Source organism: Homo sapiens, chromosome 8 (assembly GCF_000001405.40).
Source record: "Homo sapiens chromosome 8, GRCh38.p14 Primary Assembly".
Classification (NCBI taxonomy): domain Eukaryota; kingdom Metazoa; phylum Chordata; class Mammalia; order Primates; family Hominidae; genus Homo; species Homo sapiens.
The window spans coordinates 98019690-98038374 of record NC_000008.11 but is presented as its reverse complement, the minus strand read 5'-3'; the positions used below and the strand labels follow the sequence as shown (position 1 = coordinate 98038374).

General features: G+C 42.5%; 1 protein-coding gene across 4 annotated transcripts in view, besides 2 other annotated features; it reads right to left on the bottom strand.

The window, feature by feature from the left end:
• Positions 1205-1314: an enhancer, noted in NCBI's record as "active region_27671". NCBI's record gives its function as "activates an Ori minimal core promoter by ATAC-STARR-seq in GM12878 lymphoblastoid cells {active_cell/tissue: GM12878}" and the evidence as "EXISTENCE:reporter gene assay evidence [ECO:0000049][PMID:35858748]".
• The window catches only part of MATN2 (matrilin 2), a 167661-nt gene continuing 150626 nt past the window's right edge, over positions 1651-18685 (bottom strand). For 2 of the 4 annotated variants that reach the window (NM_002380.5, NM_001317748.2), the window contains 7 exons: positions 17048-17170; positions 10546-10959; positions 7761-7913; positions 6058-6129; positions 5199-5333; positions 4716-4814; positions 1651-2718 (listed from right to left, as the gene is read on the bottom strand). In NM_002380.5, the coding sequence (NP_002371.3) occupies positions 2663-2718; positions 4716-4814; positions 5199-5333; positions 6058-6129; positions 7761-7913; positions 10546-10959; positions 17048-17170 (1052 nt within the window). In that variant the 3' untranslated portion in view covers positions 1651-2662. The remainder of the gene's footprint in view (positions 2719-4715; positions 4815-5198; positions 5334-6057; positions 6130-7760; positions 7914-10545; positions 10960-17047; positions 17171-18685) is intronic. The other 2 variants (NM_030583.4, XM_005250920.3) reach the window with 2 other exon arrangements.
• Positions 4635-5834: an enhancer, noted in NCBI's record as "BRD4-independent group 4 enhancer chr8:99044769-99045968 (GRCh37/hg19 assembly coordinates)". NCBI's record gives its function as "activates an origin of replication core promoter dependent on BRD2, P300/CBP, MED14 and CDK7 cofactors, and independent of BRD4, by STARR-seq in HCT116 cells {active_cell/tissue: HCT116}" and the evidence as "EXISTENCE:reporter gene assay evidence [ECO:0000049][PMID:35650434]".

Below are 18685 nucleotides of genomic sequence, written 5' to 3'. Positions count from 1 at the left end.
TTGTGTCCAATACTCTTGGCTGCTAAAGACTAAAAATATAATAGTTAATACTGAGCATTTAAAATGTTTTAGGGTCCAGCACTGTGGTTTATGCCTGTAATCTCAGCACTTCTGGAGGCTGAGGCAGGAGGATCACTTAAGGCCAGGAGTTTGAGACCAGCCTGGGCAACGTAATGAGACCCCATCTCTACAAAAAAAGTTAAAAACATTAGCCCATTGTGGTGGCACAGGCCTATGGTGCCAGCTACTCAGGTGGCTGAGGCAGGAGGATTGCTTGAACCCAAGAGGTTGAGGTTACAGTGAGCTATCGTGGTGCCACTGCACTCTAGCCTGGATGACAGAGCAAGACCCTGTCTCTAAAAATAAATAATATGGTCGGGTGTGTTGGCTCACGCCAGCCCTTTGGGAGGCTGAGGCTGACTGATCACCTGAGGTCAGGAGTTCAAGACCAGCCTGGCCACATGGTGAAGCCCCTCCTCTACTAAAAATGCAAAAGTTAGCCAGGCATGGTGGCAGTTGCCTGTAATCCCAGCTAGTCGGAGGCTGAGGCAGGAGAATTGCTTGAACCCAGGAGGCGGAGGTTGCAGTGAGCCAAGGTCATGCCACTGCACTCTAGCCTGGGTGAAAGAGCGAGACTCCATCTCAAAAAATAAATAATAAAAGTTTTAGGTACCTTACAAAATAGTGTATATGTTAACTCATTTAATCCTCTGACCACTCAATATTATTATTAGCCTTATTTTGCAGATTAAATCCAATAAGTGATGAAAATGGAATGCAGAACTCTGAGATTTACAAGTGGCAAAAACAAGCAAAATAGAGAAATAATATTTTAGACAATCTTCAAGTTAAATATCTTGGATTAATCTGTAGATTTTAATGCATTGGTTGGAGGCTTTTTTTTTTTTGCCATGAGGTTTTTCTTCCCCCAGGAGAAATGTGTTTAATAGCTAAAATATATATATATATATATATATATATACATATACATAGTCTCATGGCAGAGAGATAAAATGTTAGGTTGAAAGGTATTTAATTGCTAAAAAGGAGGAGGCAGACTTTTGTGCCGCTAGGTGGAGCCTGAACACAACAGAGAGTAAAGTAGAATTGAGCCACCTTGGCAGCAATGCCAGAACTGATAGTCATGCACCTCAGAATGACGTTTGGTCAGTGATGGACTGCATATACAACAGTGATCCCATAAGATTATAATAAGGCTGAAAAATTCCTTTTCTGTGTTTAGATACAACACTTACCATTGTTTTACAGTTGTCTACCGTATTCAGTAACATGATGTACAGGTTTGTAGTCTAGGAGCAATGGGGTATATAACAAACAGCCTCGGTGTGTAGTGGGGTACCCATCTAGGTTTTTCTTTTCATTTTTTTTTTTGAGACGGAGTCTCGCTCTGTCCCCAGGCTGGAGTGCAGTGGCCCGATCTTGGCTCACTGCAAGCTCCGCCTCCCGGGTTCATGCCATTCTCCTGCCTCAACCTCCTGAGTAACTGGGACTACAGGCACCCACTACCACACCCGGCTAATTTTTTGTATTTTTAGTAGAGACGGGGTTTCACCGTGACATTTTTTATTTTGTTTTTTTAATTTTCAGGAATGGTATGCTAAACATTTTGTCATTCTTTTTAAAGTCATCTTTGTTTTGAGTTTGACCATTTATTTGTATAGATGTAGCACATTCCTGTACATGCGGTGTTGTATTTCTGTGGTATGGATTACACCAGAGTTTATCAGTTCCCCTTCTGATGATGTTTAAGTTGTTCCTTATTTTTTGCTTTTACAAAGCCTAGTAACATTCTTATGCAGGTCTCTTTGTATGTATGGGCTGAAATCAACTGAGTGCAGTTGCTAGATTTACAGGGTTGTGTGCATTTTCAGTTTTATGAGATGTCAACAGACTTACTCTACAAAGAGTGCCATTTGCATTCTTACTACAAGAACCTCACATTTCCACATCCTTACCAACACTTGTTAAAAAATATACTCATTTTTGCTAAGCTGATGGGTGAAAAATGGTATTGTTTTAACCTGCATTTTCCTGATTACTGATGAGATTCAGCATTTTTTTCATAGGCATGTTGGCCATTTCTCATACATACATATCTTCCATTTAAAGTTAAACTAAGAATTTTTGCACTGAATACCATTCTCTGAAGTGGTGAATTTTAATATTGTATAAAAAATCCAACTTGTTCCACAAGTACATATGTCCTATGATTTTATGCATACATCCATATACATATATCAAGGTAAAGTCCAGTACAAAAAAACAGCATTTCCTATGGCCAGTGTTCTACAGAAGTAAGACTGTGCAAACTTTATCGTATAGTCAAATGAGATTGCACACTAAGGCAGGATGAGGCAGAAGCAAGTTGTGTCCACAGTATATTACAAAATACCTTGCATAGCTTATTCATTCTCACCTGGTAAATTCATCTTAGAATTCTGAAGGATTTTTTTCCTAGATAAATTTATACAAGTTAGTGTATACTTCTTGTCTTTGTTCTGTGGCAAACCAGGTTTCTCAGTACTGATTGTTTTACTTCACAACATTATTGATTTAACAATAGCCTGAGCTTTGGGGCTCTGCACTGCGTTCATTGTAATCCGTGATACAATGACTACAAATGTGTCGCGATTTCTAATCTTCATCTGTATCTCAGGCGATTTTCCAGGGCTTCCATTCTCTGTGTCATTTCTTCTAGTAAATCTCAAATTAAGGAAGATGAAGAATTGTCTATTTTTATTTACATTTAAATATAACTTGATTTATCCACGTAAAATTTTGGCTTCTGAAATCTAAAAGGTTTTGGTTTTTTTTCCCATTTCTGTCAAGTATGTTAAAACCCTGACTTGTAAATTTGTAGAACTCATTTAACATATTCTGTCAAGACAAATATTTTGGGTTTTTTTTTTTTTAACATCAGCAAAGCCAGATGGCTCAGTGTGAATTTGTCTTTTTAATTTTAATTTTATTTATTTTTGTTTTTTTTCTCTTTTTTTGAGACAGAGTTTCGCTCTTGTTGCCCAGGTTGGAGTGCAATGGCGCGATCTTGGCTCACTGCAACCTCCGCCTCCTGGGTTCAAGCGATTCTCCTGCCTCAGCCTCCCGAGTAGCTGGGATTACAGGCATGCGCCACCACGCCCAGCTAATTTTGTATTTTTAGTAGAGGTGGGGTTTCTCCATGTTGGCCAGGCTGGTCTCGAACTCCCCACCTCAGGTGATCTGCCTGCCTCGGCCTCCCAAAGTGCTGGGATTACAGACGTGAGCCACCGTGCCCGGCCTTATTTTATTTATTATTTTTTAAGAGACAAGGCCTCAGTATGTTGCCCAGGCTGATCTCGAACTCCTAAGCTCAAGCAAGGCCACCTCGGCCTCCCAAAGTGCTAGGATTACAGGTGTGAGCCACAGCACCCAGCTGCAGTCTTTTTTTTTTTTTTTTTAATTGTGATTCCACTTCCACCCTTAATGCTTGCAAATTAGTTTGCCATAGCACACTTCTAGGAGCCAGAATTGATAATGTTGGGAATCTGGTGAAGAGAAGACAATGAAAGAATTCGGCCTTGGAAAGTAAGATATGAAGTCAGAAGCAAAGGGCGATACGGAGTTTTCACCATGATGCTACATAAGGCCACGGTTTTGAGGAATTCTGACCTATGTAAAAATATGTCTTCTTTAGTCTCTTGTGAGTAGAACTTTGGGGTGGGACAGGCAAGCGAGAAGAAAAGGGCATTAGAATAGGTATTGGTCTTCCCTGTAAGCTCCTCAGTACCCTCTATCTGCCCTCTTGAGGGCAGAATGAGAGCCCATATTCGTCAATTAACCACTCAGAAAGATTATTTCATTTTACTTAAGGGAGCGTATTTCCAGCTTTCAGAAATGGAATTGCCCTATGCTGTTGTTCCTTATTACATAAGCCCATTGGCACAGAGATAGTTCAGAATTAAGCCATTTCCCTATAGACTAGTTGATGCACTTGAGATATCAGCCAGCTTTAGTACGCTTACTGTAATTTTAAGTTTAGAGCACTTGGCAGGGTGTTCAATATGTAAAAGCACCGAATCCTCTTTTCTTTATTATCCCCAAGCATTCCTTTTATTTAATATTGTTTAAATGAATCATTGGATCCTGCTGTTCCCTTGGTGGAGTGTTTCATTTTTTAGAGTGCCGATAGAGAAGATCTCTGCTGCCAAGGGAAAAAAAAGAAAAAACCACTCCTGTCCTCCAGAAACTAAACACACTGAATCTATATGTGGCTGTGGTGTTCCTTGGGGCTAAAGGAAAAGTTTGGAGTACTGAGTTTGAAACCTCTTCATTCTACAACATTCTTTGTCTATACTTACCGTACCTTTGATGCACTTCAGACCTCATCATGTCCTACACACCTTCCTAGCAGAGACGGAGTTAGGCCAGTGTCTCTTTTTTCCTTACTTTGTATGCTGACTGACAGGCCTTATTGCTAAGCCCCCGAGAACAGCCGATGGCAACTAAGTGCTTGACTGCTGCTAATAAGCTTGGCTTGCCCTTGCCTCTCAAACACCTGTGAGGCTGCTTTTTAAAGCAAAAAGCCTTTCCTGGAGATCACTGTTCTTTGTGACTTCGTGGGATTTACTTCAGTTGATAAAACCTACATAGAGTGTGTGAAGTTTTGATAATATTCTTTGCATTCCATACAGAAGCATAATGCAAGAAAAGGATATAGCGCTGTGTTAATTTTCTTACTTCTTCGTTTGCAAGGTTCTGGAACATTATAAGGTTTTCACATTTGCATTGATCGTGTTTTTCTTCCAAAGGGCTTCCTGAGAAAGCAGATGGAAAGTGTTCACCTCTAGAATCCACCAGACTTCCCAGACGCATAATAATAGGAATGAATCAGCATATGGAGGAAACCATAATGAAAGACATGTTCCACTTTTTCCATGCAGCCAGATCCAGTAAATACCAGGAAAGCACTGTATATGCTTCCAACACTGGAAGTGGCCCTTACTGTGGATTACTGAGGAACACTACTTGAGTTTCTTTTAGTTTATGTTTTAGTTCTCATTTTACTTAAATTCTTTCTTCTCTTTTCCTCTATACTATTTCCTACTTCCTTCTTTCCTTTCCTCCTTAAAGCTAAGGTTGTTGGCAAGCCGAAAGGCTGAGATCAAGTTATCTTATAGTAATATTTTACTTGGAATTACCTGAAGGTTTTGTTGAATGGGAAAGCTTTTGTGTAGACCGTAAAAGATTGTCTTCTTCAAACAGATATCTGTGTTGCACTGCAAAATTAGAACAGGAAAGTAGGTCTTGGATATTTATGGTGACTGGCTCAGATTCTGTAAAGAGAAAGAAAACTGCAATCAAACCTGCTTAACGCTTTTGGTTATAAAACAGCCATCAGCAGAGTAAGGTACTTGGTATTCCTAGCACTTGGTACAGAGCTTTACTTTGGGACATACTGAAGCAAAAAGACTGTTATCTTCAGTGGAGTAAACATCTTTATTAAAAAAACAAAAAACAACAACAACAAAAAACAAAACAAAAACAGCCGGGCACAGTGGCTCATGTCTGTAATCCCAGCACTTTGGGAGGCCAAGGTGGGTGGATCGCTTGAGGTCAGGAGTTCAAGACCAGCCTGGCCAACATGGTAAAACCCCGTCTCTACTAAAAATACAAAAATTAGCTGGGCATGGTGGTGGGTGCCTGTAATTCCAGCTACTCGGGAGGCTGGGGCAGGAGAATCACTTGAGCCCAGGAGGTGGAGGTTGCAGTGAGCTGAAATCGTACCACTGCACTCCAGCCTGGGCAACAGAATGAAACTGTCTCAAAAAAACAACAACAACAAAAACAAAAACAAAAAAACACTGTCACCTGAAACGATGCTAGTTACCAAATATGGCTTAATGTAAGAGTAAATGTTAACTATCTTTTTGAGGGAAAAAAGGCCTTCATTATCATAATTTGAACATACTTACATTCACTTCTTTACAGCTTTTATCTGGAGGGAAACCATGGTTCCCTCCACCAAAATTTCTAAAAACACTGCCTTAAAAACTGTACCTGTTGGCTGTTGGACCGTTTTTGGCAGTTCCCCTGCTGGAGAGTCCTGTCTTCCATCGGAGTCTTCTAGAGCTGAGCAGAAAAAGATGACCAAAAGAAGTGATGGTTGTCCACAGGCATGTGTGTGTTCTTCAGGAAGCTGGTCCCAGACCACCTCCTTACCTACCTGCCATAACCTAAGGTTTTTTAGTTTTGTTTGGTAACACCAAAGATTCAAAAAAGCAGTTGGTTACCATGATACTTATGACCACTCTAGGGCAATTCTCTCTCGTAAGAGAAGCTTGGACCCCCTAAGTACATCTTAAGAATGCTCCCAAAAATGTCATGTCTAGAAAGTAGGGCAGAAAAAAAAGGTGAAGTTGTTGAGGGATTTTAGTTGCAGTGGCAGCAGCTCCACTTGAGGCATTTTAACTTGCATGAAACAATCAAGAGGCAAAACATTCTCTACTCAGAAATCTGAAAGGCCTTCCCTCCCTGTTACCCCTCATCTCAAGAGTTCTTTCCCTAGAGGGGTAAGACACAGCACTTAGACTGGGATCTAACTGGTGAGCCGGGGACATGAGTACAAGGAAAAATAGGCAGAACTGCTATCTGTAAGCATATCTGGCACAGTTAGTAAACTGGAGAAAAGCATGCATAACAAAATCTGAAGTCTAAAGGGCAGTCTGATATTCTGTAAACAAGTAGTCCATGCAGAAAGGCATTAATTTTAACAGTGGGCTTGGAAGAACTAGGTACGCCCCTTTCCACTCCAATTATAGGTATATTCTGAAATTGCACTTCAGCTCTCCTGATTTATATAATGATTGATTTTTAGTTAAATGATCATTTCTCTAGGGTGTTTGTGAGGATGAAGCATGCTGGTGTGTCAAAACACTTATTATACTGCTTGGCACAGAGCAAGGGCGCAAACAATGGTAGCTATTACTTTTTTCTTTCCCACCTCCCCTGTTTCCCCCACCTTTTTTTTTTCTTTTTTTGAGACAGGGTCTTGCTTTGTCACCCAGGTTGGAGTGCAGTGGCGCAATCATGGCTCACTGAAGCCGTGACCTCCAGGGCTCAAACGATCCTCCCCGCTCAGTCTCCCAAGTAGCTGAGACTACAGGTGTGTGCCATCATGCCTAGCTAATTGTTAAATTTTTTTTCAGAGACAGGGTTTCACTTTGTTGCCTAAACTGGTCTTGAACTCCTGGGCTCGAGCAATCCTCCCACCGCAGCCTCCCAAAATGGTTGGGTTACAGGTGGGAACCATGGTGCCCAGCCCTTCTTTTTGTACTGTTTCTAGGCATTGCTGGCCCTGCCCATGAAGGAGACACTTTTTTTTGGTTGAGAATTTATCACTAAAGGTTCATGCTGGCCGGACACGGTGGCTCACGCCTGTAATCCCAGCACTTTGGGAGGCTGTGGTGGCTGGATCACTTGAGGTCAGGAGTTCGAGACCAGCCTGGCCAACATGGTGAAACCTCATCTCTACTAAAAATACAAAAATTAGCTGGGTGTGGTGGTGGGTGCCTGTAATCCCAGCTTCTCGGGAGGCTGAAGCATGAGAATCACTTGAACCCAGGAGGCGGAGGTTGTAGTGAGCTGAGATTGTGCCACTGCACTCCAGCCTGGATGACAGAGTGAGACTCCATCTCAAAAAACAAAAAAAAAGGAGTTCATGCTGCCTTGTTTGCTAAGGTCTTCGGCGTAAGCTATAGTACCTTCACAGATGCCTTTCTTGAGTTTTTCACTTATCTCATCCATTGTGCTGAAGTCTTCGGCATAGAAGAGATGCTTGTTTGTGGGCTCAGAGGCAATCTCTTGTAGTTCCTCCTCAATGGCTTTTCCTACCCCAACAGCATACATAGTGATACCTAGGGTGCAGGAAAAATTAAGAGCAAGTTAGTTAGAGTTGTGTTCCCAGGGGCTGGAAGTTGTGTGTACTGCACCCAAAGCCAGTTAGATGTTAAGTGGTATGATTTGAAGAGTCCATGCCAACCTTCCTTTTTATTTTTCTACCATTTTTATTTTGGTCCTATGAACAAAAGGGAGGGATCCAAGAGAGAAGTGAGGCATCTGGGAGACGCTGGGGAACTAAACTACTAACCTGTTGCTCAGCCCTGGGCTGGGCCATTTAACAAATCTGCAACTTCCCCCTGAATTAGCCTTCTGGATTCATAGAAATGAGCCCTATTTTATGGCTTGCTAAATGGGAATCTCTTCTGGAAGAATTCTAAGAATCAAGTCAATTTATGACCTAATAACCTAGTTTCTACTCAAAGCTACAGGGTAGGAAACGTAAGTGACCTGAGGCCAAGTGAAGCTGCTTTTTGCCCACTTCTGCTAAGATGACACAACTTTGTGAGGAAGTGCTAAGCTGAAAAGGATAATCTACAGACCATTGGAAACCCCTAAAGTCAGGAAAAAGAACAAACCCAAGATCAGCCTTAAATTTCAACAGGGATATGCGTTTGCTTTAAAAGCTTTTCTTACTCAATCCTTAGACTCCCTTCCCCTATATACTCTTCATTTGAAAGTAAAACACAATAAGAATATGTTCTGCTGGAGTCCAAACATTTTTCAGCACTGATAACTTATTCTAGCTAATTTATTAGACTAGATTCTTAAAAATGTACTTAAAAATGGCTCTTCAAGACAAGGGGCAAGAGTTGTGATGCCTTGTTCTGAGTCTGTGTAAGGTCACTAACCAAGTTCAGCATATTTGTCCGGGAGCCCAGTGATTTTATGCACGACTTCCTAAAAAGGATAACTACTATTTTAAGATTCTGTTTGCTATACATAAGACTAGTTAAATTCATAAGAGGATGTCACCTCATATAAATCTTGTTGATTCAAGAATCAAGTAAACATCAGTTTCTGCTACCACCTGTCTTTGTGTGATGTGTAGAGACATTTGAGTGGAGCAAAGGGTAAGGTAGATTAGTCTCAGTGAGATGAAAGGGCTAACCACTGTCTCTGGAGACTAAGATGCTTCCCCTAATTAATTCTTTTTAAGAATGCAGACTAGGGGGCCTATGAGTTTGACATGAGCTCTAGCAATCTAGGCTAGTGTGAACAGCCAGTTTTACAATCTATCCAGATGATTCAGGGCAGGACACTTTGTGGCTACCACTCTTGGGCTAGAAAAAGAGGAAGGTACGCAGTATCAATAAAATGACCTCCTTCACAAAGACAGCGAGTGAATGTCGATGTGAACCAGCCTTTCTGTGAGGAGGAATGGAGTTCACCAATGGGACTGCCAGTACTCTCACTTCTTTCTTCATTCACTCAGCAAGTAGTTGTCACACATCTACTGTGTGCCAGGCCTGATCTAGGCACTGGGTCCATAAAGTCTTAGATGAGGCCTTGATCTGTGCATACCTTATTTCCTCTTACAGGACTTGCTAAAGCAGTGTGTCCTCAACAAGTACTTTAAGAAGGCAGTTTTCGGCTGGGCACAGTGGCTCACGCCTATAATCCTAGCACTTTGGGAGGCTGAGGTGGGTGGATCATGAGGTCAGGAGATCGAGACCATCCTGGCTAACACGGTGAAACCCCATCTCCACTAAAAATACAAAAAAATTAGCTGGGCGTGGTGGCGGGCGCCTGTAGTACCCAATACTCAGGAGGCCGAGGCAGGAGAATAGCGTGAACCTGGGAGGCGGAGCTTGCAGTGAGCTGACATCGCGCCACTGCACTCCAGCCTCGGTGACAGAGCAAGCCTCCATCTCAAAAAAAAAAAGCAGTTTTCAAGCAAACTAGTTCACAACCTCAAGTTTTCTTATCTCCCTCAAGGAATCTAGAAACTTCACCATAAACTGTCTCTACCAATTATCCTACCTTTTGGGTTTCCTTTAGCCAAGGGTCATACTCCTCGAGCACGCTTCACATCTGTACAACTGAAGTAACCCTCAGGTCAGGAAAACCTCAGAGAAGAGGCTGGGCTTTACTGAGCAACAAGAGCTTAGAGTCATAATCTGTTCCATCATTTGATTTTCGGAAAAGCTAACTTTGCCTCCTGGAAACACAAGAGTATTATCCACCCTAGGGGCTATTGCATTTTCAGAATGCTCGCTTGAAGTATTGGTTAAAAAATACAAGAATAAATATACACAGTAAAAGTTCCCATCAGAAACAATTTAACAAAGTCTTCAGTTGATTCTAGAGCAAGCCGACCAGTGTTTCGGAACTATTGTGTATATCTAGGCGATTCTTACACTGGAGATCACACACTGGCTAGTAAATCACAGTGAGAGGATACCCGCCTGTGGTCAGCTTAGCCTACCCTTCTAGTAGCCAGACTCCTTCCTGAGCACTTTATTTAACTCCTGTGGGGTCCTGTTAAGGCTTCTAGGTGGCAGGGTAGTAAAGATGTATAATGGCAGTTGCCAGGAGGCCTTTCTGTACACTCAAAGAAGCTTACCCTTATGGCCAGCTGAGACCACTGAGTGAGTTTAAGAAACCTGAACCTTGAGTGGTGTAAACCGCACCTCCACCCCATATTACCATTGGCCTTGGCTTTACTGGCCCACTCGGAGACGTCATCCTGAGCCCGTCCGTCGGTGAACACAATGGCTGCTCTGGGCACCCTTGTGGAAAGGGGCCTGGCCCCTTCTCCTTGGGTAAAACTTCTCTCAAACATGTGTTTCAGGGCCAGCCCAGTCATAGAGCCCTTTCCCATGTATTTCATGTGGGCCACGGCTTTTTTCATGTCTTTGGCTGAGTTGAAGTTTCTCAGAGTGAACTCTGTGTGGACCTGTGTGGAATACTGGAGCAGCCCCACTCGAGCGGCTTTGGGGGAAATTGTCAAGGAATCTATAATTCCAGTGACAAACTGCTTCACGACCTCAAAATTCTCTTCTCCAAGACTCTTGGATCCATCGATCACAAAGACCAGGTCAATTGGGCCTTCAGTGCATTCTATATGAACAGAAGGAAAGTTGACATAGTTGAATAAAAAATCATTTATGCACAAGAGTAGAATAAAATGATGCTTCAATTGGAGGCATAACCACTTTGGGGAACCAGTTTTGTTCTTTAGATAATACACAGGATAGATGAGTTGTTGGGAGGGCCACAAGCAACAATAATTTTCACGTATACTTTTATGGTTGGCTTGTCATATTGATAAAAATAGTATTTTTCACAAGCAAAACGGCAGATATACAATTGTCTAGGAAACCAAGTCTACATTGTACCCTGGAACACTGACAGGTCTGGGAGGAGCTGGGTGTAGAGTACACTGAAGGGTCTAACAATACCCAAAAGACTCCTAGAACTTTAGGAGGGTGACATCACCCTAGTGCTGGCATTCTGACAGTCAATGGAGAAAGAGATTTCTTCAGCTCAGCCATCACCTCTGCTGGGGAGCCTTCCTAGTAACTCAGCTTGTATTGCTTTCTATATACCCCAAACACTACTAATTTATTCAACCAAAAATTTATTGAGGACCTGCTTTGTACAAGGCCATGGGCATAGCAGGATTGCAATAGTGACCAAGACACAATCCCTAACACCAAGCTGCATACAATCTAATGTACTCTATATAGTGTTCCACATTGTACAATAATTATTTAATGATGTGTTTCCTCCTCCAGTCTGTGAGTTCCTCCTCAGCAGGGACTGTGTTTCATTCATTTTTGTGCCCCACCCCCCAATACTTGGCACAAAAAAAGTGTTCAGTAAATGTGTGGTGACAGACTAAGTGAATGAGGTGATGTTCATTGGGTAGCACACCTGTAAGTACCCTACTGACCTATTAAAGCTTACAAAATAATTAGCCTTAGTGCAGTGGCTCACGCCTATAATCCCCAGTGCATTGGGAGGCTGAGGCAGGAGGATGGCTTGAGCACAGGAGTTCAAGAACACCCTGGGTAACAGAGTGACTGTCTTTCTTAAAAAAAGAAAAATTAGCTGGGCATGGTAGTGCATGCCTGTAGCCCTAGCTACTTGGGAGGCTGAGGCAGAAAGATTACCGGAGCCCAAGAATTACAGGTTGCAGTAAGCTATGATTGTGCCGCTGCACTTCAGTCTGGGTGACAGAGCAAGACCCTGCATCTCTCCGTAAAAAAAAAAAAAACAAAATTAAAAAAAAAGTTATCACCATAAATTCTTTACATGGAAGCTTTTCAGGCATTTTTTTTTTTTTTTTTTTTTTGAGATTGAGTCTTGCTCTGTTACCCAGGCTGAAGTGCAATGGTGTGATCTTGGCTCACTGCAACCTCCACTTCCTGGGTTCAAGTGATTCTCCTGCCTCAACCTCCCAAGTAGCCGGGATTACAGGCACACGCTACCATGCCTGGCTAGTTTTTTGTATTTTTAGTAGAGACGGGGTTTTGCCATGTTGGCTAGGCTGGTCTTGAACTCCTGACCTCAGGCGATTCACCTGCCTTGGCCTTCCAAAGTGCTGGGATTACAGGCATGAGCCACTGTACCTGGTCTCAGGCAACTATTAATAGATGGTCGATAGTAAGCAGAAATAAAAGCTTTATGTTAAGCAATTTGGGTGTGGAGAGGCTTTTTGTTATTTAGGACTGCAAAAGAAAAATGGACAGATCCAAAATGGATTATCTCATTTCTTCTTCTTTTTTGAGACAGAGTCTTGCTGTGTCGCCCAGGCTGGAGTACAATGGCGCGATCTTGGCTTACTGCAACTTCTGCCTCCCAGGTTCAAGCGATTCTCCTGCCTCAGCCTCCCAAGTAGCTGGGATTACAGGCACATGCCACCATGCCTGGCTAATTTTTGTATTTTTAGTAGAGACGGGGTTTCACCATCTTGGCCAAGCTGATTTCGAACTCCTGACCTTGTGATCCACCCACCTCGGCCTCCAAAATGTTGGGATTACAGGCGTGAGCCACCGTGCTGGGCCAGATGATCTCATTTCAAACAATCCACAATCTGTGATAAACATTCTGTTTTATATATCAAGCAGCTGTCTAATCTTTAAAAGTGAGGCACAACAATATAAGCATGTAGAGACACACACATGCAAAACCATTTCTATGCCTGGCCAGTATAAAATGCTTAACGTCATAGTGTGTGTGGTGTGTGTGTGTGTGTGTGCGTGAGTGCGCACATGTTGGGGGATTGGGTTCTTCTGTTTCTCCATTAAGTGCTTTTCCTCATCACTCAACCTATCGATCTTTTATTAGTGAAAGAGGAAAAGGCCAACTCAAAGCTTCATTTACATTCATAGTCTGTTCCTGAGTGAACCAAAAAAAGACTCAGGCAGCATGCATGTGGCTCTTCAGCAGATTTCAAAAATACTGAAATAATTTTCCAGCAGTGAGTCTGTTTTCTCCTCCTTTCTGTACACATTTTTCTTACAGAACAAAACTAGCACTTGCAACCCCCACACATAGAATGGCATCCAGAAGGCTTCTCCAGGAAACACAAAACAAAGTAGAGTGGAAAAGCATCAGGGAGAGCAGGGCCCAGGTATTTGCTTTCAGACACAGGAAGGACAGCCCCACTTATTAGACTATTTTTTTGCCAGAGGTTAATTCCCACTTTTCTTGGGCATTTTCTTTTTGGTAGTTAAGTTGATAAGACTGGAATGGAGCTGTGACTTGCTTTCAGAACGTAATTTTCAGAAAGTTCTAGAACTTCAGGCATGGATAAGCCCTTTAAAGATCATCTACTCCAGCCCTGCTGTTGCTTACATCCTCTTTACAGCATCCTCACCCAGTGACCATTCGGCCTGGGCCTCAATGCCTCTCCTGATGAGGAATTTGTCACCTTACCACGAAAGCCCCATCTTTGGACACCTCTGCTGTTGATGATTACAATAGTGATCATTTTGTTTGTTTGTTGTTGTTGTTGTTGTTGTTTGAGATGGCATCTCGCTCTCTCGCCCAGGCTGGAGTGCAGTGGTGCGATCTTGGCTCACTGCTGCCTCCACCTCCTGGGTTCAAGTGATTCTCCTGTCTCAGCCTCCCAAGTAGCTAGAGCCACAGGCACACGCTACCATACCTGGACACTTTTTGTATTTTTAGTAGAGACAGGGTTTCTCCATGTTGGCCAGGCTGGTCTTGAACTCCTGACCTCAGGTGATCCGCCCGCTTCGGCCTCTCAAGGTGCCGGGATTAAAGGCATGAGCCACCACACCTGGCCTGTCTGTTGTTTTTTAAATTTAATTTTATTTTAAGCTCTAGGATACATCTGCAGGACGTGCAGGTTTGTTACATAGGCAAATGTGTGCCATGGTGGTTTGCCGCACCTATCAGCCCATCACTTAGGTATTAAGCCCCACATGCATTAGCTTTTTATCTTGATGTTCTCACTCCCGACTACCCCCAACAGGCCCCGGTGTGTGTTGTTCCCCTCCCTGTGTCCATGTGTTCTCATTGTTCAGCTCCCACTTATAACTGAGAACATGCAGTGTTTGGTTTTCTGTTTCTGTGTTAGTTTGCTGAGGATAATGGCTTCCAGTTCCATCCATGTCCCTGCAAAGGACATGACCTCATTTCTTTTTATGGCCGCATAGTATTCCATGGTGTATATGTATCACATTTTCTTTATCCAGTCTATCATTGATGGGCATTTTGGGTTGATTCCATGTCTTTACTATTGTGAATCGTAATAGTGATCATTTTTTGAGCACTTAGTGTGTGTGAGCACTGGGCTCAACACCTTTATTTATTTTTTATTAAAAAAATTTTTTTTGAGACAAGGTCTTGCTGTGTCACCCAGGCTAGAGTGAAGTGGCACAATCACAACTCACTGTAGCCTCAACCTCCTGCACTCAGGTGATCCTCCCACCTCAGCCTCCCTAGTAGCTGGGACCACAGCCACGTACCACCACAACCAGCTAATTTTTCTAATTTTTGTAGAGACAGGGTTTCACCATGTTGCCCAGGCTGGTCTTGAACTCCTGAGCTCAAGCAATCCTCCCACCACAGCTTCCCAAGGTGCTGGGATTACAGGTGTGAGCCACAACACCCGGCTGTTCAGCACCTTTGGATACACGATCTAATGTATTCCTTGTGATGGCTTTGTGAGTTATTATCCTTATTTTATAGATGGGGAAACTGGGACTCAAAGAGTTTATATAATTTTTGTTTGTTTATTTGTTTTTTTGAGACAGAGCCTTGCTCTGTCACCCTGGCTGGAGTGCAGTGGCACGATCTCGGCCCACTGCAACTTCCATCTCCTGGCCTCAGCCTCTCAAGTAGCTGGGATTATAGGTGCATGCCACCACACCCGGCTAATTTTTGTATTTTATTTATTTTATTTATTTATTTATTTTGAGACGGAGTCTTCCTCTGTTGCCCAGGCTAGAGAGCAGTGGAGCAATCTCAGCTCACTGCAACCTCCGCCTCCCAGGTTCAAGCAATTCTCCTGCCTCAGCCTCTTGAGTAGCTGGGATTATAGATGCGTGCCACCACGCCTGGCTAATTTTTATATTTTTAGTAGAGACAGAGTTTTGTCATGTTGGCCAGGCTGGTCTCGAACTCCTGATCTCAGGTGATCTGCCCGTCTTGGCCTCCCAAAGTGCTGGGATTACAGGCGTTAGCCATAGCGCCCGGCCGAGATTAAATAATTTGACCAAGGTCACACGGGTAGTATGAATCAGGGTTCAAATCCAGATCTGTCTGAGCTGAAGCTTATGCTCTGAACTAATTAGGCATGCAGCTTCCCTGGTAGAAAGCTTCTTTGTCCTCGTGCTAAGCTGTAGCTTCTCCAAGTGTCCTTTCTTTCCAGGGTAGGGTGGGGTGGGGTGGGGGTATCATACAAATCATGAGTGAGATGACAGTCACATTGGTATTTGGTACCTCAAAATTTTTTTCTACAAAGATCCCCAGTTTCCTAATTTTTTTCTGCTTAACATAATACTGAACTTCCTCACAAGATCATGCTGCTTAATTCTTTCTAAATCGTGTTTATCTTATTTTTTTCTAAAAAATAATACATGCATTTGGAACAAAACTTAAATATTAGAAAAAGGGTGTGTGTATGTGTGTGTGTGTGTGTGTGTGCATAAGGGTATACACATTAGATATGTATATAATGGTACACACACACACACATATATAGAGAAAGAGAGACTGTATGTTAGAGTGTTTTACAAAATATATCGATGGTAACATACTATAAAAAACATTCAGCACCATGCTTTTTTCTCTTAAAATATCTTGGGGATACATCCAGAGCTGCTTGTTGTTTTAACAGCTGCATCATGTTTTATTACATAGATGTGCCTTAATTTATTCAGCCAGGCTCATGGGTGATCATTTAGCTTGTTTCCAGTTTTTTGCTGCTACAAATAGTGCTGTATAAAATATCCTTGTATACATGGCTTTGTAAACATGCACGTATCTGTAAGATAAACTTCTAGAACTGGATTGATAACATTGCCAAATTGCCCTCTGAAAGGTTATACCAATTCAGACACTCACTGATCCATTTATAATTCCCTACTACAATATACCTTTGCCAACATAAGGAATCAAACTTTTTGATCTCTGGTAACTAATAGGTTAACTAATAGGTTAAAAAAAGGTATCACAGCTTTACTCTCTTACTAGATATTTTCCTTTGTTTTTCTTTTATGGCTTTTAAATTTCATGTCATGTTTAGAAAGATCTTCTCTACTCTCAGATTAAAAAATAATTCTCTCAAGACTCCTTTTGCTCTTTTGTGTTTTTTTTTTTTTTATGTTTAAACTGTTGATCCATCTCTTTTTTCCTAAAGTACCATGCCCAGAACTGAATGTAATTCTCCAGCACAGAGCAGAGCACAGCTCTCTCCACCTCCCTCATGCAGACATTGCTGTTCAGCCTACGATCACCCTAGCCTCTTGGCTGATAATGAATTTACTGTCAATTAAAACCGAAAGTGTTTTCACAGGTGCTGCAGTTAAGCCCTCTCTTCCCCATTCTGTATTTGTGCATATGCATTTATATTTATGGGAGAAGCAGAGGTGAGGGATTTGTTGCCTGAAAATACTCCAAAAAGCAGTTGCTCCAAAACAAAATTAAAGCAGAGAGCCAAGTTCAGATCACTTACTCTTGCACCGTCTTCCGTCCTCAGCTAGAACAAATCCCTCTGAGCATTTGCAGATGTAGGAATTCCCATTATTAACACAAATGTGTTCGCAGCCATGGTGGGTTGATTTGCAGACATCCTTCCCTGAGGAAAATGTAGGGAGTTGAACAATCCCATCAGTGTAGAAATGAGGTGAATTGAATAGTCATGTGAGTAGAGATTGTGGAAGTAATCTCTTTTAAAGAAAATACACCTCTCTTCAAACCTCCTTCATAATGTCTTTTGCAGTCTCATACTCAGGATGGGGAAAAAGCTCCTCTCAGAAAGCTCTAGCTCCCATGAGTCTGAATGGTACGATGGGTGATTAGGTGTCCTTGACTTACTATCCTATTATTAGATGTGCTTTAGCTTCTAATTTCTTTTGCCACAGACATCCCAAACACTCCAGTTCAGATTGTCTAATGAACATTTCTCATGTGTGAGGTAATTTAAACTCTTCGAAGTACTTACAGCCCTTTAACCCTCACAACACCCTGTGAGACAAGGAAGACAGGGATAATTATTCTCAAGGTATCAATGAAGAATTAGATCCTCAGAGAGCTTCACTGCTGCCCACGGTCATCTGGCAGGTTGATGACACAGCTGTCTCCCGAGTGCTCCTCCATAGCATGAGAGCCTATGGCTCTTTCCTGTCATTACCCCTTAAAAGGAGAGGCTTCACACAAAATTGGAATCAGTGAGAACACATCCCTCTAGGAAGCAGGAATGGTGAAATCTGATTTAGGATCAAATTCCAGAGGTAGAAGTTGTACCTTGTGTTCAATTTACTGAGCAATAAATGTGTTGAATGAATAAACAGTGTGTGTGTGAGTGTGCAGATGTTTGCAGAAAGAAAAGCATGAGGGCTGGGCATGGTGGTTCACACCTGTAATCCCAACACTTTGGGAGGCCGAGGCAGGCAGATTTCTTGAGCTCAGGTGTTCAAGACCAGCCTGGGCAACATGGTGAAACCATGTCTCTACAAAAAATACAAAAATTAACCGGGTGTGGTGGTGCACGCTTGTAGTCCCAGCTACTCAGGAGGCTGAGGTGGGAAGATCGCTTGAGCCCAGGAGGTGGAGATTACAGTGAGCTAAGATAGTGCCACTGCACTCCAGCCTGGGTGACAGAGTGAGACCCTGTCTCAAAACAAAAACAAACAAAAAGAAAAGCATGAACAAGCAGTGCAGACAGGCACAATGGGCAGAATTATAGACAAAATCTCCACAAGAGGGCCACTGCAGTGTGAAGCTGGACCTGCAGTTGTGAGGGGAATCCCTGCAGAGTTAGGCCAGGGTACCACAGGCATCCTAGGTGTCAGTCATTCACACAGAACTTCTTGCTAAAGGTAGGAGTCCCTCTTCCTGGAGGAAGAAGCGAGGTATTGAGATCCCTCCAACCCAGCCTTGTTGGCTTGTGGAATATCCCCAGTTATCTCAAAGGAGTCTGTGAGGAAATTCCCAAAAATCAACCTCAAAGCAACTGAACTTATTTTGACTTAATTGAAAAAGGGTTATTTTGCCCACTGGGGCAAAGTGTCACAAAAGCAAGTAGACTTTGTCAACCACCCCTCCCCCCAAAATAGGGAATTACCAGCTCAGAATCTCATGGTGGGGAAAA